At 42.4% G+C, this 25704-nt stretch overlaps 2 pseudogenes and 1 further gene; all 3 read left to right on the forward strand.

The window, feature by feature from the left end:
- The window catches only part of IGL (immunoglobulin lambda locus), an 896838-nt gene that overhangs the window by 419789 nt on the left and 451345 nt on the right, over positions 1 to 25704 (forward strand).
- On the forward strand, positions 972 to 3143 carry ASH2LP4 (ASH2L pseudogene 4; annotated as a pseudogene).
- IGLV7-35 (immunoglobulin lambda variable 7-35 (pseudogene)) lies at positions 4494 to 4788 on the forward strand (annotated as a pseudogene). Its single transcript is given in 1 exon segment — positions 4494 to 4788. A coding segment is annotated over 1 exon segment (295 nt).

The raw sequence follows: 25704 nt of genomic DNA on the forward strand, positions 1-25704 counted from the left end.
TGAGGAATTGCCACACTGACTTCCACAATGGTTGAACTAGTTTACAGTCTCAGTAAACTATTGCAAGAACAAAAAACCAAATGCCGCATATTCTCACTCATAGGTGGGAACTGAACAATGAGAACACATGGACACAGGAAGGGGAACATCACACTCTGGGGACTGTTGTGGGGTGGGGGTAGGGGATAGGGATAGCATTGGGAGATATACCTAATGCTAGATGACGAGTTAGTGGGTGCAGCGCACCAGCATGGCACATGTATACATATGTAACTAACCTGAACATTGTGCACATGTACCTTAAAACTTAAAGTATAATAATAATAAATTAAAAAAAAAAAGTTCTGACTCATGCGATGGCATTGATGAACCTTAAAGACATCACGCCAGCAGAAATAAGCTGGCTTCAAAAGGACAAATATTGTTTGCTTGCCCTTATATGAGGTATCTAGAGTAGTCAAATCCATACAGACAAGAAGTAGAATGAAGTTTTCCAGGTGTTAAGTTTTGGTTTGGGAAGATGAAAAATTTCTGGAGATAAATGGTGGTACTGTGGTTGTACAACAGTGTTAATTTACTTAATGACACTGAAGTATACACTTGAAAATGGTTAAAATAATGAATTTTGCATTTGAATAATTTACCACTGTACAAAAGAGGAAGATTTATATTCAGTGTAGTTTCTCTACCAAGAACAATCAAAACATACAGGATTGGGAGAGTGTGCCTGAGTATTAGGACACCCTTCCTTTTATGCCAGCCTGCAGCTTCCTAAGAGGCCAATAGAGTTGGAAGCGCCTCATTACTGGTGACTCAAAGTAATGTGAGAAAGTCTGGGAGTGACCATGATGTAAGTGGTGGGTGTCTGACCCAGCCCAGGAGCAGCCGCAAATGCAGCAGCTGCCAAAAAGGGGGAGATGAAACTGATGGCAGCAGTAACAGCCTCTCCAGCTGGAGTGGGGCATCTGCTCTTGTGCAAAATGGTTCACAGTTGATACATTTAGCACAGAATCTCATCCTGTCTACCTGTCATGATCAACTACAATTTTTATTGCAAAGTATGCCATCAGAGTGGCATATTTTATCCAGCAGCAAGCAAACATGAAGGAAGTTTCCCTTAGTGCTTTGGTCAAACTGGCATGGCAGTCCTGAACACTGAATGAATATCCAAAGACAAGGTTCTCCAAAGATAAAGATATTATACTATTTATTGATAAATACTGGGAGTGCATGATGACCATTCAGACACCTGGGAAAATGACTTGGCTGAATAACATTGTTAAAACAATGAGTAAAAAAAGAGATGTGCTCTTGGTAAAGGAACACCTGGATCCAGGGTATAAAGACCGGAAAGAAGACTACCGCAGATTTGGACTTTTGGATCAGGACTTGGTAACATTGACCCTGTTTACGACAACCAAAAACAAAGCAGTGCTGTGTCTACAGTGGGAATCTGAGTCAGGAAACTGCAGCAGGAACAGCAGAAAAAAGGAAGAGGAGCTCAGTGCAAACAGAAGGATGGGGAGACCACAGGGACCACCAAGAAGGCCCAGAGTGACTTTTTGTTTTCCGCTCAGGGCTGTCCTCCTCACACCCCTTGGATCACACATTTAATGAAGACGGCTACTGGTATAGTCTAACTTAGCCTGATCCTCACACGGTTGGTCCTCAGAAGCTTGAAATTAACTGCTGGGCAGGAAAACCTATTCCTGGAGACCTCTACAGTGACTGCTTCTATGAACAGGTTTTGTTAGATCAACATGATTAAGCTCCCCAGTTAGAGATCTCCAGTGACTGGCTGGCTGACTGTGGTTGGAAAGAAGGTCTACTTTATGGTGCAGACCTCTCATGGGATACGGAAAGGGTCCTGGTACTTTGAAATCACCATGAATGAGATGCCACCAGACACCACTGCCAGACTGGGTTGATCTCAGCCCTAAGGTAACTATGAAGCTCCCTTAGGTTATGATAAATTTAGTTATTATTGGCAGAGCAAAAGGGAATCAATTTCCACCAGTCCACTGGCGAACACTACTGTTTTAGCTATGGGCAGGGAGACATCCTACGATTTTATATTAATCTTCCTGAAAACCCAAGAGACAGCCAAGTTACCAAGATAAGGCTTTGATAAAGTTCAACAATTATTTTTATTTTGTGGAAAAAGACTTTGTGGCTAAAGCAGGGAAGAGTCTAAAACAGATTCCATATAGTAAAATAATATTTTATAAACATGGTGTCAATCAAGATGTGGCTTCAAAAGATATTTTTAGGGGGTTACTTTTAGCCATCTCACTGGACAAGAGCTTCATAGTTTCCATTAACTTTGGACTGTGCTCCAAGTATCCTCCAAAGAATCTCACTTACTGCCCTGTGAGTGACATGGGCTGGGATGCTGTGGTAGAGCACACTCTGGCTGATGTCTTGTATTTTCTGGAGACAAAAGAGGATGGGGGCACAGTCCTCCATGGGAACCCTGAACAGGTCCTTCTTTCTTTTCAGATATGGACTTTCTGGGGAATAATATTGGGTGGCTTTTGTTGTTGTTATTGTTTTTGAACTGTCTTAAATGTTCTCCCAAAGATGCTACAGAACATAGCCTATCCATTTACCAAGTTAAAAGGCTGAGTAGGACTGTGAGAGATGCCCTGCTCATCATCATTCTTCTTCCACTTCCAGTGACTGCTCTTATATTCTTTGCCATAAGCCAACAACCGCTCATCCCAAGATCTCATAATCCCTCTGTAAAACTGATGCTGTACTACATACCTTGCCAGCTGGGACTTGTAATCTTACTGTATTTTCTAAGGAGTGAATAATCTTGTCCAGGTAACTAACATATTTAAAGACATTTTCTTCTGTGGACACTGACTCCATGCCACCTGTTTTCCAAAGAAGTGGTGAAGCTGTTTCTGAGAACACCTAAAATCAATGGTTGTACATTCCAAACCAATCTAAAAGTGATTTCCTTTTGCTGTGGGTTTGGTTCTATTACTGATTTGGAAATATACCTTTGAACACTGAGATCTCTGAAACTACTAGACTTCTAGAAGTGTAATTGTATAAGAAGTCTGTTTGCAGCTTTAACAAAATGAGAAACTCTTCCCAAATTAAAGCTTTCTTTGAAGTTAAAAAAAAAAGAATAATGTGAGATTGGAACCTGTGAGGTCTGAGGATTCCCAAGAGTACTCTCAATTCTGACGCTAATTGTAACCTAAGGGCTCCCCAACAGCCCTTCACTTCTTATGATTCCCTAGAAAAACTCACATAACTCCCTGAAACCTGTGACATTTATTGATACAAATTTTTACAGCAAAATAATACAGATTAAGATAATTCAAGGGAAGAGGCACATGGGCAGAGTTCAGGAGAATTCCAAGCACAAGCACCCAGTTGTCCTCTCCCAGTGGAGAAATAGACAGTGCTTCATTTTGCTCACAGCAATGTGTGATTCTGTGTATGAAACACCTATTTCCTGGGTGAGCCAACCAGGAAAGCTCACCCAAGCTTGGTGTCCAGAGGGCTTTTAAGGGGTGGTCTGGGTGAGAGTGGGGTTATTATGTAGACCTTGTGGATCATCCTCAAGGCTCACTTCAGTTTCCATTGAATTAACAATAAAACTTAAACCTTCAATCTTTGGTTATTTTCTTTTTAAAAATTCTCTGAAGTAAATTATTATTAAAATTCTCACTTAAGACAGCTGTTTATCCAATATGAGGCTCAATATAAACAGTTTCAAAAAGTCAGTAGGTCATTAAAACAATTTCTTCAGTCATTCAAACCATTCAGATAAAAATTAACACCATGTAATACAAAAATTGAATTATAGTCACAGGGACAGGATTTCAGCAATGGCAAGAAAAAGTAGTGCAAATAGGAATGAGCAAAGAATAGACAAGTAATGGGTGTGAATTGGCCTCGGAAATACCATGGTAATGTCAAAAAGATAAATCAATTGTTATTTTGTTAAATAAGTGAAAGGCCAGGCATTCTCAGTCCAGGAAAGCCATCACAGGGCAGTCTGAGTCTTCTGCATCTTAAGAAGCTCAAGAGGTTCAAACTTAATAAACCCTGCACAGTTGCTCACTGGTTCATGTAAAATGCTAGAGCAGTTGCTTCCTCCCACTCAGCAAATCCACAGCACACAGTCACCCTGGTCTGGCCCTTCACAGTGTAGATGCCCTCAGGGCTAAGAACCTGAGTGGTTCTAAAAGTAGTAAAGATTTGCATAAAGTACCACACAACACACCCTCTCCACATAGGGAGCTCAGTAGGACATAAAGAGCCATCAGAATCCAGCCCCGACTCTGGAGCCAGGAGTCCCTTCTAATATCAGCATCATGGCCTGGACTCCTCTCCTTCTCCTTCTCCCCATGTACCTCCTCACTTGCTGCCCAGGTTAATAGAGATTTCAAATACCAGCCTTTGGAGGGATTCCTGTGTCTCCCTTTCTAATTCCCAACATGTGTCTGTTTTTTGTTTCAGGGTCAAATTCTCAGGCTGTGATGACTCAGGAACCCTCACTGACTGTGTCCCCAGGAGGGACAGTCACTCTCACCTATGGCTCCAGCACTGGAGCAGTCAATGGGGGTCATTATCCTTACTGGTTCCAGCAGAAGCTTGGCCAAGCCCCCAGGACACTGATTTATCATGCAAGCAACAAACACTCCTGGACCCCTGCCCAGTTCTCAGGCTCAGTCCTTGGGAGCAAAGCTGCCCAGACACTCTTGGGTGTGCAGCCCGAGAGGTGAAGCTGAGTACTACTGCTTACTGCACCATAGTCGTGCTTGGCACAGTGACAGACTCAGAAGAGGAACCGAGACATAAACCTCTCTAGGCCCTTGTGATATGAAGATCATATGATCACGCACACCAGCTCTCAAGGCAGCCTACATGTGGACCAGCCATAGAAAGGGGAAGGAAAGGATCTGAATTGATTCCTATCCCTGCTTAAGCCCTGAAGTGAAGGAAATGTGAGAATGATCTGGGAAGAACTGGATCAAAAAAAAAATCAGAAGTTTATTGCTTTGTATTCTAAAAGGAGCACTAACAGCTGGATCAGATCTAAAGGCTGAGGCTAAATGCATTTCCTCCAGAAAGAAGCATCTTCAAAGTATGGGGTTTCTGAGCTAAGAGTAAAGAGAAGAAACTCTACTTTTGTATATTTCTAAAGTTTGTTTTATTGAGTTACTTTCAAAGCAATACATGCCTATTATGTGGAATCAGAAAGTATTAAAAATCACCAAGTTCTCTGCAAAGCTACCTTATCCCAGATAATCAATAGAAGTACATTTCTTCATTTGGATGCATTCTCTCATTTTTGTTGTCAATATTTTCACAATGGTTATCAAACCTTGTGCTCATTCCTCTGGTTTTATACAGCTTTTTGCTCTGTCATTTAATGTTAATGTAAGTAGTTTTCCATTTATTTGAAAGGGTAAAATATTTGAGTAGTTGCTAATTTTATTTTTATTTGAATACCAATGAAAAATTATAATTTGGGGTAATTCAAATTGCTTGTCAGACAAAGATGTGACATTGGGCTATTATTAAAATGCTCCTGGTCTTCTCTGTGGATTTAGTGAAGTCAAACAAAATGCCTGCAATTTTCTATGGAAAGCCTTGAGTACATTATGCCTGACTTCACAATGCAGAAAATAGAGAAACAAGAATTTCCTGCTCATGTTTGCTGGAGCATAATAGATTCAGGTACGAGGAACAACTTATATTGAAAACTACGTCAATGTCTCCATGCATGTGTTAGAACAGTACTTCCCAAACTCTATTGTGCATACAAATTATCTGGGGATTTTATAAAATGCAGATTCTTATTCAGTGGGTCTGGAGTGAGGACACAATCTCTGCATTTCTCACATGTGCCTGCCACACAAAATCCACATATATATTTGAATAATAACAAGTCCAGCCAGCAGTGGAGGCTCATATGTGTAATCTTAGCACTTTGGGAAGCTGAGGCAAAAAGATTACTCGAAGCCAGGAGTTTGAAACCAGCCAAGAGCAACATAGCAAGATATTTTCTCTATAGTTTTTTTTAAATAATAAAAAATGAATTAGCCAGGCATAGTGCTGTATGCTTGTAGCCCTAAGTACTAAGGAGGCTGAGGCAGGAGGAGAGCTTCAGCCCAGGAGTTCAAACCTGCAGTGAGCTATGATCATGCCACTGCACTTGAGCCTGGGTAACAGAGTGAGACCTTGTCTCTAATAATAATAAGAAAAACGACAACATATCCATAAGACTAGTATCAAATAAGGAGAATCCTTGGCAGGCAAGAACCTAGGAGAAATCTCTGACATAGGGAATTTACCAGCTTGCATGATAGAAGAACCCCACACTCCATGGAGGGAGATGACCAGGGAGGACAGCTGCAAAGCTAGGAAAGGCTCCCCTTTCTTTGAGAGCAAAAACAAAAGCAAACAAACAACAAACCTGACCTTCCCTCTGGCTCCTGTCCAACACTCTTACTGGCTCCTCCTTCAGCCTTTCCTATAATGTGGCCCATCCTTACCCTCTCCCCTTCCACATCTCTGATTCCTGAATTCCCTTCTTTGTTCTCTTTCCCTTTGCTACCACCCACTTCTCCCCTCTAATCTCTTGAGTTAATTATCAAGGGCTTTATAACAGGAAACTCATTGGCATTTTTTCTGCATCTGTCCTTGAAGTTGACACTCATACTTTTATCTCTTTCTTGAACCTCTCAGATATGCTTAGAACTGAAGAAGCCCGAAGTTGATTGATTCTGTTTTTTCACCTCAGCCAGCACCTTCTTCTTCTCCTTTCCAGGAGAATCTGTATTTCTCTGTATTTCCAGAATTCTCTGTATTTCCAGTGAATCTGTCAGACACAGTAAGTACCTCTTCAAAGGTTTAATTTCTGACTTCATTGTTCTTTGTTCTCGAGATGAACTTCCTTGTCCCTTCTCCTAAGCTACCTGCTCTGTAAACAACTTCTCCCACCAGTCCCAATCTGTAACTCACATCTCCTCCTTATTTAGAAAGAGTCCTCTTTTACTCCTTGCTACCCATTCTGTAAACTGCCCCTCCCACAAAACTACCCTTCCCACATTTGCCACGCCCTGACATGCCCAAACATACCTTGTACCATAATGGACTGCCTCTCCCTTCCCACCTAATTAGCCATACTCAATTTTAAACAGTAGCCAATCAGGTCAGTTTAGATTGTGTGGTCCAACTCCAGCCAATGGGGACAGGACACAGAAGCAGGGACTAACCACGTTAGGGATGAAAACCCCTTCCCTCCTTTGTTTGGTGTGCTCTTGCAGTGGTCAGAAGTGCAAGCGGCACTCTTCTGTAGAAATAAGTTTGCCTTGCTGAGAAATATTTTGTCTGAGTGCTCATTTTCCTTGCGACTCTGAGCTCTTGTTTCTAACAAAATAGGGGGTCATCTGGGATTCCCATTCTCCTCTGAGGAAGGGCCTCTGATCACCTCTTAGGAGGAGATGCATCCCACTGCTTCATTGCAGTGGCCTCAGGGGTAAGGAATCAGGACCCACCCAGCATGATAAATAAACCCAGACTCTCAGCAACACAGGAAGAAAAGGCCTACAGTTACCGTGGCGACCAGGTAACTGTGCACAGACAAAGGTAAGAAAAACCACTAGGGCAGTGAAGTACTTCCTTAGTGGTCAGGACATTCTGCAGGTTGAAAATGTGTGAATGAGATGCACAATTAAGTGCAAAGTGAGTGTGGAGTAAAGTAAAGGGTGCAAGAAATCTCTAGTAAGAGAGGTTGAGCCCCAGGGAAATGGTGCAAGAAATCTCTAGTAGGAGAGGTTGAGCCCCACGCACACTCAGCAGGGAAAGGAGAGCGAGAAACCTCCAGTAGCGGGGATTGAGCCTCCAGGGAAAAGGGTGCAAGAAATCTTTAATACGAGAGATTGAGCCCCCATTAACCTCCAAGACGGGAGTGCAAGAAATCTCTAATATGAGAGATATGAGCCCCCATTAACTTCCAGGATATGAAATACCCTAGTAAAACAAGAACTACAAAGGGCAAAGGAGATAACACAATTCCCTCTGATAGCCTTCTAGGTCTCATGTTAAAATATTGGAGGGATAATGAAAGGACTAAACACAAGAAAAAGCAACAAATGATCAAATATGGGAATTGTTTTATTTGGACCAAAGAACCTATTCTCAAACCTTCAGTTTTCTGGCCAAGGTTTGGATCAAATGAGAGTTGGATTTGTCAACTTTTAATAGAGTATGTAAATGACAAAAGTCCTGCTTCCCAAGAGGAAATAGACTCTGCTGTGTCTTGGTGGCAGGGGCCGGTCCTCCTCTACCCCCTTAAAACTAGTAAGGATAAGCCAGAAACTAATTCCCCTGTAGGAACTAAGGCCCCACCCCTGAGCAATCCATGTGGGATCCCTTAGACCATCTGCCTCCACCAGATACCCCTAACTTCTCTCAAGCAGCCACCCAGACCCTTCCCCTGCTCACATTATGCCCTCCCTCCTTATAATCCTGACTGTTAGGGCTGTCCCCAACCTGAACGCCCTCCTGCAAGAAGGCTTCAACGTGAGATAGAGCAATGTAAAAAGGATATTCAAAACTTCCCTTTCCCCTCCTCCTCAAAAGAGTCTGCCCCAATCGTTTTTCCCTTAAGGGAAGTGTTTCTAGGAGGAGAGGGAGTTGGCTTTGTAAATGTCCCCTTAACTAGTTCAGAGGTCAGAAACCTGAGGGAAGAACTTAAACCACTATTAGATTATCCTTTTGGGGTCGTGGATCAAATTGACCAATTTGTAGGATCACAAGTATACACTTAGGCTGAGCTAATGTCCATCTTAAGTGTTCTCTTTCCGGGGGAGGAAAGAACCATGATACAGAAGGCTACTATGATAGCCTGGGAGTGCAAATATCCTCCCAGTCAAAATACCCCTGCAGCAGAACAAAAATTTCTGGCCCAAAACCCCCAATGGGATAATAACAATGCAGCCAACTGAGAAAACATGAAAGACCTTAGGGAAAAGGTAGTTAAAGGGATTCAGGAATCAGTGCCTCAAACCCAAAATATTTCCTGAGCATTTAATATACAGCAGGGAAAAGACCAGGGAGCCATGGAGTTTTTAAACAGACTCAAGGAACAGATGAGAAAATAGGCAGGCTTAAACATAAAGGATCCCCTTAGGCAGGGATGTTAAAACTCCATTTTGTTACTAATAGTTGGCCAGATATCATGAAGAAATTACAGAAAATAGAGACCTGGAAATATCGGCCTATAGAGGGAACAAGAGGGCAGGGAGAGGAGAGAGAAAGACTGACAGAGGGAACGGAGGGAGCCAGGGAGAGAGGGGGGGAGATACAAAGGCAGAAAGAGAGAGAGGGAGGGAGAGACAGAGAGGCAGATAGATGGAGAGGCAGAGAGACAGTGAGGAAAAGTCAGAGACCCAGACAGAGAGGGAGAGAAAGAGAGGCAGAGGGAGAGAAAGAGGACGAAACAAATGTTTCAAATGTGAAAAAATAGGTCACTTCAAAAGAGAATGTCCTGAATGGGAAAAAGAAACAAAAGTCATATATAAAAGCAGATCAGCTAATATTAAATTTCTGTTAATTCCAGAGGCAGGAACATATCTATTAGGGAGAGATTTAATGCTAAAATTTGGCTTAGGCCTTTATATTAATCAGGGAAAATTTCTCATCTCCTTAAACCTACTCACCACCACGGATGAAGAGCGTATCCATCCTGACACATGGTCAAAAGAAGAAAATTGGGGGAAATTACAGTTCCTCCAATCAAGCCCAAATTAAAAACTCCTGGGGAGGTAGTAAAAAACCAAAATCTTTCTTTTGAAAGCTGAGGGAATAACCTCACAGACCAAATAGCCAAACAAGCTGCCATTTCCTCTGAAACGCCCATGTTTCACCTCACCCCTTGCCTTTCTCCCCCAACCGCCATTGCCATCTTCTCCCCTGCTGAAAAGGAGAAATTAATAAGAATAGGAACCAAGGAAAACTCAGAAGGGAAATGGGTGTTACCAGATCAAAGAGAAATGCTATCCAAACCTCTCATGAGGGAGGTTTTATCTCAGCTGCATCAAGGAACCCACTGGAGACCTCAAGCTATGTGTGATGCAGTTCTTAGAGACTATGGATGTATAGGAATTTATACTCTAGCAAAACAAGCTACAGATAGTTGTTTAATATGCAAAAAAACTAATAAGCAAACCCTAAGAAAACCATCCTTTGGAGGAAGAAACCCAGGAAATTAAGGCCATTCCAAAGCATCCAGATAGATTACACCAAAATGGCCTCAATAGGTCACCTAAAGTATCTACCAGTAATAGTGGATCACCTTACTCGCTGGGTAGAAGCTATTCCCTTTTCAAGTGTAGCCACCAGTAATGTAGTTTAGACATTAACTGAAAATATTATACCTAGGTTTGGATTAATAGAAAATATTGATTCAGATAATGGAAACTATTTCCCTGCACATGTCATTAAAAAGCTAGCCCAAGTATTACAAATAAGATGGGAATACCATATCCCTGGCACCCACCTTTATCAGAAAGAGTAGAAAGAATGAACCAAATCCTAAAAAGCCACCTAATCAAACTAGTTTTAGAGACTCGACTACCTTCCTATTGCCTAATTGAGGGTCCGAACTGCCCCTCGGAAAGATATTGGCTTATCTCCTTAAGAAATGCTATACGGGTTGCCTTATTTACACTCCACTGCTGACATTCCTACATTTGAAACTAAAGATCAATTTCTCAAGAACTATATAATTGGTCTGTCTTCCACTTTCTCTTCCCTCAGAACTAAAGACCTTTTAGCACTGACACCACCCTTGGAGCTCCCAGCACATCAGCATCAGCCTGGGATCACATTCTCATCAAAAGCTGGAAAGAAGGAAAACTCGAACCGGCTTGGGAAGGACACTATCTAGTGCTTCTAACTACAGAAATTGCTGTCCGCACAGCTGAAAGGGGATGGACACCCCACACACAAGTGAAAGGAGTGATTTTCACAGCGAGAGAAAAATGGGCCGTCACCCCAGGGCCCACCCGCACCAAATTAAAAAGGGCTGAATAATCATTTGTTTATTTTCCCTTTTCTTTCCAACAGAAAGTCACCTCATCATCAGTGTGCCTCAAACTAATCGTCCCTTAACCCTCCAGTTCGATGCTTGTTCAGTCACCTCATGTAGAGATGAACGAGCTCAAAGGCAGCTATCAAATGTAGATAAGTATCTGTGTCCGTACCGTAGTGAGTCAACCAAGTATAAGTATAGAGCCTTAAAAAGTCCCTGTGGTGACTGGACAGATGTTTGGTGGACCACCCAATATGGAGGGTGGACAGCCAGGCCCCCTTTTTCAAACAATTCTGAGGACTGAAACAGAAACTCCAACTTATTCGTGGTACCACCCCACCAAATTGTAAGTCATTGCAGTGTAACCCCTTATTGCTAATTATAGATAATCCCCAAACAATGACCCAAGAACCCTCCATATTCGAATGATATGGGTTAGGAGCAGATGTTACAGGACAGGACCCCATAGGAATCTTCTTTCTGAGGTTGGCTAGACCATCAGTTAAAAACAATAAAGAAATCCAGACCCAGAGTCCAGGGAACCTATGGGAGCCAATGCTCTCCCCAAACATATCAGGCTCAGCATTCTCTTCTCATCTCCAGAATGACCCAACTAAGGTAATGGTTGTGGAGGTAAAAGATTTAAAGCAGACTACAGCTCTAGAGACAGGGTACAAAGACGCAAATGCCTGGCTGGAATGGATTAAATCTCCTGTCCACACTCTAAACAAAAGCAATTGTTACACTTGTGCACATGGCAGGCCAGAGGCCCTGATTGTCCCCTTTCCACTTGGAAGGTCCTCCAGCCAACCAGGCATGAACTGTATGGTAGCTGTCTTCCAACACCCCACAGCCTGGGGTAATGAATTATGCTGAACTCTCTCTCTGCTATTTCCTGAAGTCCAGCACCCTGTGGGTCAGCCCCTGAGGGCCATCCAGCTTCTGTCTCCTGATGCAAGTTTCACCCCATGTCTCTCACGACAAGGGGAAAACTTAGCATTTCTTGGAGACCTAAAGGGATGCAGTGAGCTTAAGCCATTCCAAGAGCTGATCAATCAGTCTGCCCTGATCCATCCCTGAGCAGATGTATGGTGGTATTGCTGCGGACCATTACTAGACACTTCCAAGTAACTGGAGTGGCACTTGCACTCTGATCTAATTGGCCATCCCTTTCACTCTGACATTTTGTCAACCAAAAAGGATAAAGACAAAGCATCATAAAACAAAAGATGCTCCTCATGGGTCCTTTGACTCTCATGCTTATATAGATGTCATTGGAGTCCAGAGAGGAGTGCCAGATGAATCTAAGCCCCAAAATCAGATAGTTGCAGGGTTTGAGTCCATACTATTCTGGTGGTTGACTGTAAATAAAAATGTAGATTGGATAAATTACATCTATTACAACCAGCAAGGATTTGTTAACTATACTAGAGATGCTATTAAAAGGATAGCTAAACAGTTAGGACCCACCAGCCAAATGGTTTGGGAAAATAGAATAGCATTAGACATGATACTAGCAGAGAAAGGTGGAGTCTGTGTTATGAGTGGAACTCAATGTTGTACTTTTATACCTAGTAATACTGCTCCTGATGGAACCATAACAAAAGCATTACAAGGTCTTACTGCTTTATCCAATGAAGTAGCTAAAAATTCAGGAATAAACGATCCCTTCACTAATTTAATGGAGAAATGGTTCAGCAAATGGAAAAGACTTATGTCCTCAATCTTTACTTCTCTTGACATTGTAATAGGTTTGCTTATTCTTGTAGAATGTTGTATCATACCCTGCACCTGAGGCCTACTACAAAGGCTTATTGAAACAACTCTCACTAAAACCTTTTTCAAATCCACCGCCCCCCCACCTTATTCAGATAAGCTCCTACTTTTAGAAAACCAAGCAGAACAACAGAGTCAAGGCATGTTAAAAAGGTTTGAAGAGGAAGAATTATAAAAATCAAAAGGGGGAAACTGTCAGATACAGTAAGTTCCTCTTAAAAGGCTTAATTTCTGAATTCCTTGTTCTTTCTTCCTGAGATCAACTTCCTTGTCCCTTCTCCTAAGCTACCTGCTCTGTAAACAACTTCTCCCACCAGTCCCAATCTGTAACTCACATCTCTTCCTTATTTGGAAAGAGTCCTCTTTTACTCCTGGCTACCCATTCTGTAAACTAACCCTCCCACGAAACTACCCTTCCCGCCTTTGCCACACCCTGACTTGCCCAAACGTACCTTGTACCATAACAGACAGCCTCTCCCTTCCCACCTAATTAGCCATATTCAATTTTAAATAGTAGCCAATCGGGTCAGTGTAGATTGTGCAGTACAACTCCAGCCAATGGGGACAGGACACAGAAGCAGGGACTAACCACATTAGGGATGAAAACCCCTTCCCTCCTTCATTTGGTGTGCTCTCGCAGCAGCCAGAGGTGTGAGTGGCACCCTTCTGCAGAAGTAAATTTGCCTTGCCGAGAAATCCTGTTTGAGTGCTCATTTTCCTTGTGACTCTGAGCTCTTGTTTCTAACAAATCCAGTGAACCACACAAATATACTAGCCAATTTTCTCCAATCCCCACCATTCTGCCTTATGTGCTGATCTAGTGAGGAATCAAATAGGAAGAGAGACCCATGGATTTCTATGCAGCCTGGGAAGTGAGTTCATGGATGCACTCAGTTGTAACACCAGACACCTGTCTGCCGTTTGCTGTTTAGCATTCACAGGGCCCAGCAGCTGTGTCCTCCCAGGGTGCCTGGAGCATCACTGACCACACCCTCCTACCTCCCACCCACCTACTCCTCAAAAAGAAAAATCAGACTCGGCATCTTATGTGAGGGGCACAGCCAGGGGTCAGGATAGATTTCCACTGAGTCCCCTCCCCTAAGAGACACCAGGGAAGAGGGGTTGTTCCGCCTAATCTATGTGGCTCAGGAAGCAGAGCACTACAGACATCTCTACCATGGCCTGGACCCTCTCTTCCTCACCCTCCTGAGTCTCTGCAAAGGTGGCTGTGACATGACTCTGATGACTGGAGAAACACCAGGGTCCTTTGTCTCACACTGAGAAAATTAGTGACATGGACACACATTGAGTGGTTTTAAGGAACAGAAAGTTTAATAGGCAAGAAAGAAGAAAACAGCTCCCCCATACAGAGGGAGGAGGGATCCTAATGGAAAATCCCACATGCAATGGAAAACAGCTGATTATATTGGGAGGCTGGAGGAGGCAGTGTCTGATTTGCAAAGGGCCCAGGGGATTGGTTTGACCAGGTGTGACATTCATGCAGCCTGTAAAAAAAACTGGCCCTCCCACCTTAGCCTTTTAATATGCAAATGCAGGTCACCATGATGTCCTGCACATGTGGCTTTTATCTGGAGGCTGCCATGACACCTGGCACACGTGGTGACAAAAAGAGGAGGGCGAAAGCCACCATATTGGGTGGACCTGGCTTCTAGCCACCAGCATTTGCATATCAGTGCTTGCCAGTCTGGTTTTTCAAGCTGCTTTCTGTTAGCAAAGAAATGGTTTGGGGGTCGCTTTTTATTAAAGGAAAATTCCACCGAGAACTTACACCATTTCTAGCTGCCTAAAAATTATTTCTTAATGACTCCTGTTATTTCCCCCCTCAGGAGAAGTAAACCTAACTGTCGTTAGGGGATGTTGGACAACAATTCTTTCTGGCTACTTCCTTCTGGAAAGGGGCGTCATGTAAGGGGACAGCAGTTGGGCCTCCTCCTGAGGTTGATCTAAGGATTCTCTGAAGAATGGCATGTCCATGTGTGGCTCTGTCTGCAGCATTATTTGGAGTTTGATTGCTTCTAGGTGAAAAGAGATAAATCTTACAAGAAGGTTTAAAATATAGGGTTAGAATATGAGTATTAAGATTACCACTGTTAGTGGGGGTACTATAGACCACAACTATGACAGCAGAGTTTGATACTTGTTAGTTACACCAGTGGATTGTAATACTGGGTTGTCTCCACTAGATGTCACTGAATATTACCAGAAAGATTAATATGAAAGTGACATTTTTCCTTGAGAAAACCATACATTTCCCCCTTTACTTGCCATTAGTGAATAGTTTTAGGCTTAGACCATTTTTATAACTTGCAATATAATTGGGAGAAATACATTATTGGGTGGCTAAATTAACTTTAGTGTTAATCTTGACAATTCCTTTTCTTTAATTATTAAATTATTTCATGACTTTCACAGACCCTCTTACAACATACTCAAACTTTCCGACTTGTCCTAAACATCCTTCCTTTAAATAACCAGTCATTTGCTTTTAGGACAAGAATTTCCCACACAAGATCTTTTCTTATATAAAGTTCCTTCTTTTATAACCTTCTTTCTATAGCTTAGAGTGCACCATACAACCAGTCTTCAATAAAAAGTCCTATCAAACTTAATGATAGTAAAACTTTCATGCTATATCCATAACTATTACTCCTGCTATAAGCAAAACAGCCTTGACTAAATCTTTCCTGCAATTGTTAATCCTGTTATAAGGATGATAATTAGACAAGATGTTACAGCAATTAGAATTTTACAACCAGAATTCCACATTGTGAGTGCCATAGTGTATAGTTCTATTGCAAATAGTAGTGTGACTGTAACAATTCCCACAAGACTGGCATAGTAAATAATTTCCATTGAAAACTTTACTTGCCAAGATATAACATTTCCCTTTGGGAATCTACAAGGTTACAAATGCAATTCTATGAATAATCAAAATCTCCCTGCGAATATGCATTAAAAAGAAGTTCTAATATTTGGTGGCAAATTTTTAGAGGAAGGGGTACAAATAATAAAAAGTGGCCGGGCATGGTGGCTCACACCTGCAATCCCAGCGCCTTGGGAGGCTGAGGTGGGCAGATCACGAGGTCAAGAGACTGAGACCATCCTGGCCAACATGGTGAAACCCCATCCCTACTAAAAATACAAAAAAATTTTGGGAGGCTGAGACAGGTGGATTATGAGGTCAGGAGATCGAGACCGCCTGTAGTCCCAGCTGCTCGGGAGGATGAGGCAGGAAAATGGCATGAACCTGGGAGGCAGAGCTTGCAGTGAGCTGAGATCGCGCCACTGCACTCCAGCCTGGGCGACAGAGCAAGCCTCCATCTCAAAAAAAAAAAATAAAATAAATAGCTGGGTGTGGTGGTGCATGCCTGTAATCCCAGCTACTAGGGAGGATGAGGCAGAAGAATCACTTGAACCCGGGAGGCAGAAGTTGCAGTGAGCTGAGATCATGCCATTGTACTCCAGCCTGGTGACAGAGCAAGACTCTGTCTCAAAAATAATAAATAAATAAAAAGCATCTGGTGAGGTAGGAGTGGGACTGAGTAGGATGAGTAGCCCTCACTCAGTTACTTATCTTTTATGATTTTCAGCTTAAGATCTTCTATTTCTCCACTTTGATATTCAGGACGTTCCTCTGGGCTGTCAGGGGTTGCTCCCTCAGGCATTCAGGCTTTGACTTGAGTGTGATGTATTCAGAAGTTGACACCTGTAACTTTTGCTGCCAAGGGGGTTGAAAGAGAACAGTGTAGGGCCCTTCGCAGCTTGGCTTAGGGAAGGAGAGAGAGGTGAGAGTTTTCACTAGTACCAAATTTCCTGGGTTAAATAAAGGTGGTTCTATTTCCTGGGGCTGGGCTTCTGCCAGTTGTGTCAATTTCTGTTGGAAGTGAGGTAGAGAGGTTACATGCTTAACCAATTTATAGGTTTTCTGCCTGAAAACAGTCTCTGAGCACATTGACAAATTTTATCCTTTCCTAAGTGAAAAGCTTGGTGAAGGATTTTAAGAACTTTCCATTGGCTGGAGGCTGGCAAATGGAGTTTGCCATCCTCTGGCTGTAGCCATCCTGAGAGATAAAAAGCATACCCTTGAGAAGTGGCCTATTCTGTTTCTGCAGGAAAATACTGAGGTTTAATTTCTGTTATGGAGCATTCCTAGATTAGAAGGGGGCTTGAAGTGTGTTAATGCCTTGAGGCTTCCTTGCCTTTGACTTAGCTGCCTGATTAATCTATTTCCTTTGGCTACTTTATTTGCTGCCTTTTGGTGTTCCTATAATGTATCCCTGCTATTTCTCACGGCATAAAAAGTGAAGATAATAGCCTGCTAATTTTCTGGTGATATTTTACAGGAAATCCATTAGTGGTAAGAGGATGTCTTTCCTTTTAAATGGCAGCATGAGTATGGAGAGCTAAGAAAGCATACTTGGAGTCCGTGTAAATGTTGGCTACCTTTCCCTTGCTTAATTGAAGTGTTCTCGTAAGAGCTATTAGTTCAGCTAATTAAGTGCTTGTGTCTGGGGAGAGATGTTGTTTAGAGTGACTACTGCTTATCCTGCCTTATGTATTTCTTGCTTTACCGGCTGTTAGTTAAAAGCGCCCCCTAAAGGACAGTAATCCTGCCACATTACGTGGGGTGTAAACAGTTAAGTTCTTTCCCAGGATTAATTTGGAGGCTTTTCTAACTGTAAAGCTATCATGACAATGGCTTGGAAGCATGTGTAAATAGGTCCTCCTAACTGCAACTAAGGTTGAGAAAAATATTGTACTAGAGTTTTTCCTGAGATGTTCCTTATGGTGATGCTATGAGAAGAGGGGAGGCCTGGATTAGAGAGAAGAAAAGAGAGAGATTGGCTTTAGTATTTAGAAGGACATCTACTTTCCTTCAATTTCCAGAATCACCCAGGTCCTGGCACCCTGTTAAATGTGCCACCCATGTTTGCAAGCGTGACCCTCCAAGCCATGGCACCAGAGGAACTAAGCTTGTGGGCCTAGTCGTGCTACCCCAAGCAGCTCTAGTCCTCTGCCTATGATTTCCCTTTGACTTCCTAGACTTGTGTGATCTGTGTGTCTCACCCCACCCCCACCCCCAAAAAAATAGATCTTGGCAGAAACTATATGGAAGGAAAGGCTCCTTTAATGGAGGGAATGTGCTAGATTGCCTGCTATTATGGCCTGTGCTAAAGCATTTACCCTTAGAAAAATGGTTCCAGTTAACTTCCAGACTTAAAATCTCCTTACTAATTAAGTACTGTTTTAATCGGAGAGAGAACAGGTGTCTTAAAGGAACGCGGGGACCTAATGGCGACTTTCCTGCTAATGGGACAGTATCGGGGCACAAATTCGGCTGCAGAGGAATTTTACTCCTAATAGTTAAAAGCAGAATTTTCCCGTTCACAGGAGCAGCATAAATCCTGGTTTCCAGTAGAAAGGTGCAAAAAGAAAAAAATTGAGAAGCTGCGGTGTACCGCGGAGATCAGCAATGTGTCGCATAAAGAGGATTTTATTTCCACTAGGTGGCGCTGTTGGCCTAGAAATACCATGTGCTCACCAGAGGAATTTTAGGGAGTAACCTCACTGAGGGGCAAAGGAAGACTTCTGTTCCTAGAAGATTGCAATGGCATTTTCCTGAGCTATCTCCCCAGTTACTACAGCATTTTCTGATCTTGCCTACCAGGATTACTTCCCTACGCTGTAAAAATTCCCGCACATTTGACACACAGAGAGAGTAAGAGACATAACGACCACGGATAAAAAAGGAAGAAGGTTCTGCGACAGGATAGCTAGGGATCCTTTACCAACATCCAGAGCAGGCCGTTGGAGGCTGGGTCCAGTCCCGAAACCTTTGAATAACACCAGGCTGTGCCCTGGCCAGAAATTCTCAGTTGCTTCAGAACTTTTCCCAGCCTCACGCGATGGCTAAGTTTCCCCATGAAAAGAAACTGATTTGAAGCATGACCAACATTCCCAAAGACCCGTGAGTATTGCGGGTTCTCCGTGTTCTGACCAGCAAGCCTAACACTCAAGTCTTTAGAACAACAGCCATGATAAGCGTATTTAGACGGCCAATGGATGCCCATAATTGATTTGATTTTGATTTTAAAATAGAGACCAAGAACCTCTGAATGACAGAACAGACTTTGAGTTCACTCCTCTAATCACTACGTCGATGAATGTTGTACCTTGGATTCCCAGTGAAGGCACCAGAAAGGATACGGCTCTGATGACTGGAGAAACACCAGGGTCTTTTGTCTCATTCTGAGAAAATTAGCAACATGGATGGACATATGTGGAGTGGTTTTAAGGAGTGGAAAGTTTAACAGGCAAGAGAGAAGAAAAACAGCTCCCCCATAGAGAGGGAGAAGGGCTCCGAACGGAAAACCCTACATGTGGTGGACAGCAGCTGGTTATATTGGGAGGCTGGAGGAGGCAGTGTCTGATTTGCACAGGGCCCAGGGAATGAGTTTGACCAGGTGTGTCATTCACGCAGCCTGTAAAAAAACTGGCCCTCCCACCCTAGCCTTTTAATATGAAAATTCAGGTTGCCATGATGTCCTGCACATGTGGCTTTTATGTGGAAGCTGCCGTGACACCTGGCACATGTGGTGACAAGGAGAAGAGGGCGAAAGCCACCATATTGGGTGGACCTGGCTTCTAGCCACCAGCATTTGCGTATCAATGCTTGCCAGTCTGGTTTTTCAAGCCGCTTTCTGTTAGCAAAGAAATGGTTTGGGGGTCGCTTTTTATTAAAAGAAAATTCCACCAAGAACTTTCACCCTTTCTTGCTGCCTAAAAATTATTTATTAATAACTCCTGTAGTAGCTGGAGACAAGGAGGCAGGGATGGCACTGGGAGGACCAGGGCTCTTCCTTGCTCCCCTGGCTTACTGAGCCACCTCCCTCACCCTGTGTCTCTCTCCTGACTCTCAGGGTCCTGGGCAGTCAGAACTCACTTGGTAACCTGCACAGTCTGTCTGTGGCTAAACCAGTCACCATCTCCTGCACTGGAAGCAGCAGCAATAAGGGTCTTGGGATTGTGTCCTGGTACCAACAATGAACAGGAAGTGTCCCCAAACCTCTGATCCATAGAAGCCAATATACACTTTTAGGGATGTAGGACTGATTCTCAAGCTATCAGTTTTCCAAAAAGGCCTTCCTGAGCATCTCTGGGCTCCAGGATGAGAACAAGGCTGATCACTAATGTTGGCATTAGTGATCATGTTTGTGATTTGCTATAAAATCATCCAGCGATGGAGTAAGATGATGGGTAAAAAGGGTTGAAAGATTAAACAAGATGAGTCACACTGATGATGTCAAAGCTAGCTGATGGGTGCCAAGGATTCATTAGACAACTCTCAGCATATTTATATAACTCAAAAATTTCCATAATAATCACTGCCTAAAAAAATCCATGTCTGTGATGAGAGGTATATGTCCTGCTTTTAATTGGTATGTAACCTGATTTTAACAATGTGGTATATAATCTGCTTTTAACAACGTGGACAAAATGTAAGCTTACATTCTGACTTCAAGTTGAAGCCCATCTTCTCCTAACAGGCAAAGGAGGAGCTGGGGTGGAGGCTATGAAAGGGACCGGAGCTCAGCGTTTCCCAGGACAAAGAAGTGAGTGAGGCCGGAGTCCCAGCAGAAGGACGAGGGGCTGTGAGATGGGCTATGGGAGTGTGCAGGGGCCACAACGTGCAGGTCATGCTGCTGGGGCCACAGGATTCAGGTTTTATATAAACAACAAGGAGCCACTGAAGGTGTTTAAGCCAGGGAGTGACATGCCACATCTGAATGAGAAGCATCTCTCTGAATTCCTTGAGGAGACAGTGTCTGAAGGAAGTGAGTGACCTGATTCTAGATTATTTACTAAAGCACCTTGTAAGTCTAGAAATCCAGGGGCCATTTACAATTAGCACAAGTGTAGATGTGGGCTACATTGAAGAAGTGATGGTCTCTTGTCATTCTTCACAGAACTAGAAAAAACAATCCTAAAATTCATATGGAACCAAAAAAGAGCCCACATAGCCAAAGCAAGACTAAGCAAAAAGAACAAATCTGGAGGCATCACACTACCTGATTTCAAACTATACTATAAGGTCATAGTCACTAAAACAGCATGACACTGGTATAAAAATAGGCACATAGACCAATGGAAGAGAACAGAGAATCCAGAAATAAACCCAAATACTTACAGCCAAGTGATATCCAACAAAGCAAACAAAAATATAGAGTGGGAAAATGACACCCTATTCAACAAATGGCGCTGGGATAATTGGCAAGCTAGATGTAGGAGAATGAAACTGGATCCTCATCTCTCACCTTATACAAAAATCAACTCAAGATGGATCAAGGACTTAAATATAAAATCTGAAACTATAAAACTTATAGAAAATAACATCAGAAAAACTCTTCTAGACATTGGCTTAGGCAAGGATTTCATGACCAAGAACCCAAAAGCATATGCAACAAAAACAAAGTTCAATAGGTGGAACTTAATTAAACTAAAGAGCTAAAGAAAAAAAAGAGCTTAATTAAACTAAAGAGCTAAAGAACTAAAGAAATCAAAATAATCACTTATAGAATGATGAAATCGGTGTCTGGGAATCAGAACATGGATGTGTGAATACAGACAGTGACTGGTGAGCTGCATGGCAAAAGGAACATCAGCAGAGTAAACAGACAACCTACAGAGTGGGGAAAATTCTTCACATTCTATACATCTGACAAAGGACTGATATATCCAGAATCTACAAAGAACTCAAACAAACTAGAAAGAAAAAAAAAACTCATCAAAAAGTGGGCTAAAGGCATGAGTAGATAATTCTCAAAAGATGATATACAAATGGCCAAGAAACATATGAAAAAATGCTCAACATCACTAATGATCAGGGAAATTCAAATCAAAACCACAATGAGATACCACCTTACCACCTGCAAGAATGGCCATAATTAACATATAATAGATGATGGCATAGATGCAGTGAAAAAGGAACACCTCTACACTGCTGGTGGGAATGTAAACTAGTACAACCACTGTGGAAAGCAGTGTGGAGATTTTTTTAAGATCTAAACATAGAACTACCATTTGATCCAGCAATCCCACTACTGGGTATCTACCCAGAGGAAAAGAAGTCATTATACAAAAAAGATATTTGCACACACGTTTATAGCAGCACAATTCACAACTGCAAAAATGTGGAAGCAACCAAAATGCCCACAACTCAATGAGTGAATAAAGAAACAATATATATATGATGATATACTACTCAGCCATTAAAAGGAATGAATTAATGGCATTAGTAGCAACCTGGATGGGATTGGAGACTTATTCTAAATGAAGTAACTCAAGAATGGGAAAACATTGCATGTTCTCACTCAGAAGTGGGAGCTGGCCAGGAGTGGTGGCTCAAGCCTGTAATCCCAGCACTTTGGGAGGCCGAGGCGGGTGGATCACAAGGTCAGGAGATCAAGACCATCCTGGCTAGTGTAGTGAAACCCTGTCTCTACTAAAAACACAAAAAAATTAGCTGGCCATGGTGGTGGGTGCCTGTAGTCCCAGCTACTCAGGAGGCTGAGGCAGGAGAATGGTGTGAACCTGGGAGGTGGAGCTTTCAGTGGGCTGATATCATGCCATTGCACTGCAGCCTGGGTGACAGAGTGAGACTCCATCTAAAAAAAAAAAAAGAAGTAGGAGCTAAGCTATGAGAATGCAAAGGCAGAAGTGTTACGGGAAGTCAGGGACCCCAAAGGGAGGGACCGGCTGAAGCCATGGCAGAAGAACATAAATCGTGAAGATTTCATGGACATTCATTAGTTCCCCAAATTAATACTTTTATAATTTCTTACGCCTGTCTTTACTGCAGTCTCTGAACATAAACTGTGAAGATTTCATGGACATTTATCACTTCCCCAATCAATACTCTTGTGATTTCCTATGCCTGTCTTTACTTTAATCTCTTAATCCCATCATCTTTGTAAGCTGAGGATGTGTGTTGCCTCAGGACCCTGTGATGATTGTGTTAACTGCAAAAATTGTTTAAACAACACTAAATCTGGGCACCTTGAAAAAAGAACAGGATAACAGTGATGTTCAGGGACAAGGGAGATAACCATTAGGTCTGGCTGCCTGAGAGCCATGTGGAACAGAGCCATACTTCTCTTCTTTCAAAAGCAAATAGGAGAAATATCGCTGAATTATTTTTCTCAGCAAGGAACAGCCCTGAGAAAGAGAATGTGTTCCTAGGGGTAGGTCTCTGAAATGACCGCTCTAGGAATGTCTGTCTTTTACAGTTGTAGATAAGGGATGAAATAAGCCCTGGTCTCCTGCAGCGCTCCCAGGCTTATTAGGATGAGGAAATTCCCGCCTAATAAATTTTGGTCAGACTAGTTGTCTTTTCTCAAACCCTGTCTCCTGATAAGATGTTATCAATGACAATGCGTGCCCGAAACTTCATTAGCAATTTTAATTTCACTCCGGTCCTGTGATCTCGCCCTGCCTCCATTTGCCTTGTAATATTTTATTACCTTGCGAAGCATGTGACCTCTGTGACCCACACCCTATTCATACACTCCCTCCCCTTTGAAAATCACTAATAAAAACTTGCTGGTTTTGCAGCTTGGGGGGCATCATGGAACCTGCCGACATGTGATGTCTCCCCCAGACACCCAACTTTAAAATTTCTCTCCTTCCCTTTATTTCTCAGACCGGCCAACACTTAGGGAAAATAGAAAAGAACCCACACTGAATTATCGGGGGCGGGTTCCCCTGATAAGAAGAATGACACAATGGACTTTGGGGACTCAGGAGGAAAGGGTGGGAAGGAGGGAAAGTGGTAAAAACTATAAATTGGGTACAATGTATACTGCTCGGGTGATGGGTTCAGCAAAAGCTCACAAATCACCACTAAAGAACATACTCATGTAACCAAATATCACCTGTTGATATTACTCCTATCAACATTACTCCTACCTGTGTCTGTGTATCTTTGTCATGTGACTTATCCCCCTTGACTTTGTGCTTGGCCCTGTTCTCACTTTGAGTAATGGAACATTTGTGGACCTTATGCAAGCTCAAGTTTAAATGTCCTTGCACCACTTGGTTTGCCCTCTTTTGCAACTCTCATTACTAAGATCTTGTCCTGGATAGTTTTTGGCCCTTCAGGCTGGGTTTCCAAATAAACACGTGTGAGTAATAAATGCTGATATTTGTGACTGTTACATAGCAATATATGAATGATACATCTAACATAAAGCAGACACTGGATATTGGTGTGGTGAGTGAAAACACTCAGGCTTGTATGTATGTAGATTCCTCTCCCACAGAGGGCAGTCATCAATATTACCAACTCAACTAAGAGGATGATTCTTATTTGGTGCAGTTTCTCTAATTCCAAGAGCAGTGGAGAAGTCTAATACCAGGGCAGTGAGCACGACCATCTGAACAACTCTTCCTTTTATGCTGGCCCTGACGCATCCTAACAGGCCAAGAAACTTGGAAGTGCCTCCCTGGAGGCAGCTGGGAGAGTGATGACAGATCGGGCTACGTGGGTGATTTATTTATATTCTTCTATTGTCTAAGATGGATATGTTTATTTAAAATTGGAAATAACTGCTATAATTAAAGCATTGAATAAAACTAAAATTAAGAATTAAAAATTTATATATTCTCCAACATCCTATCAGTCAAAGAAAATTACAGGTGGGTATTAAATTGTCAGATAAAAGAAGAACTTTCAGAGCAAAGGAAAGAAATGAATATTTATAATCTCCAAGCATTGCATGTATATTTTCTCTAATTCTACCATTTGGCTACATTTTAAGGTGCCCTAAAATTTGCTTTTTTTTTTTAAATTTTCTTTCGCTTTCCAATTCTATCTCATTATCACCCATGAAGTCCCATCTTTATTTTTTTAACAACAAAATATTAGGAGAAAATTAATCATCATTTAATCCATTTATTTTTATTTATTTATTTTTGAGATGGGGTCTTGCTCTGTCATCCAGGCTGGAGTGCAATGGCACAATCACGGCTCACTGCAGCCTCTGCCTCTGGAGCTCAAGTGATCCTCCCACCTCAGCCTTCCAGGTAGCTGGGACTATAGGTGTGCGCCACCACACCTGGCTGAGTTTTTAAAATTTGTATAGAGATGGGGTCTCACTGTGTTGCTGAGGCCGGTCTCAAACTCCTAGGCTCAAGCAATCCTCCCACCTGAACCTCCTAATGTGCTGGGATTATAGGTGGGAGCAATAATCATTTAATCTAAAATTCTCTCAGATGAGTAGGTATGGGAAAATTTTTAAAAAAATAATAATATTAAAATAATAATATAATCTAAAACCTTTTTTTCACAAATATATCTCAGGCCCAAATTTTCATCCGTCCATCCATACATTCATCAATTCATTCACTCAACCATCAAACATTTATTTATTTATTTTTTTGAGACAGAGTCTCCCTCCATTGCCCAGGCTGGAGTGCATTGGCTCGATCTCCACTCACTGTAGCCTCCGCCTCCCAGGTTCAAGTGATTCTCCTGCCTCAGCCTCCCAAGTAACTGGGACTACAGGTGCAAGCTACCACACTTGGCTAATTTTTTGTATTTTTAGTAGAGATGGGGTTTCACCATGTTAGCCAGGATGGTGTCGATCTCCTGACCTCGTGATCTGCCCACCTCTGCCTCCCAAAGCGCTGGGATTACAGGCATGAGCCACCACACCCAGCCCATGAAACATTTATTAAGGGCCCATTCTGGGTGACATATTATGTTAGGTTGGACTGTGAGGGTATAAATACAGGACAAATGAGAAGGGTTCCTTCTGTCAAGGAGAACACACTCGAAGATA

The sequence above is a fragment of the Homo sapiens genome, chromosome 22 (assembly GCF_000001405.40).
Source record: "Homo sapiens chromosome 22, GRCh38.p14 Primary Assembly".
Lineage (NCBI taxonomy): Eukaryota > Metazoa > Chordata > Mammalia > Primates > Hominidae > Homo > Homo sapiens.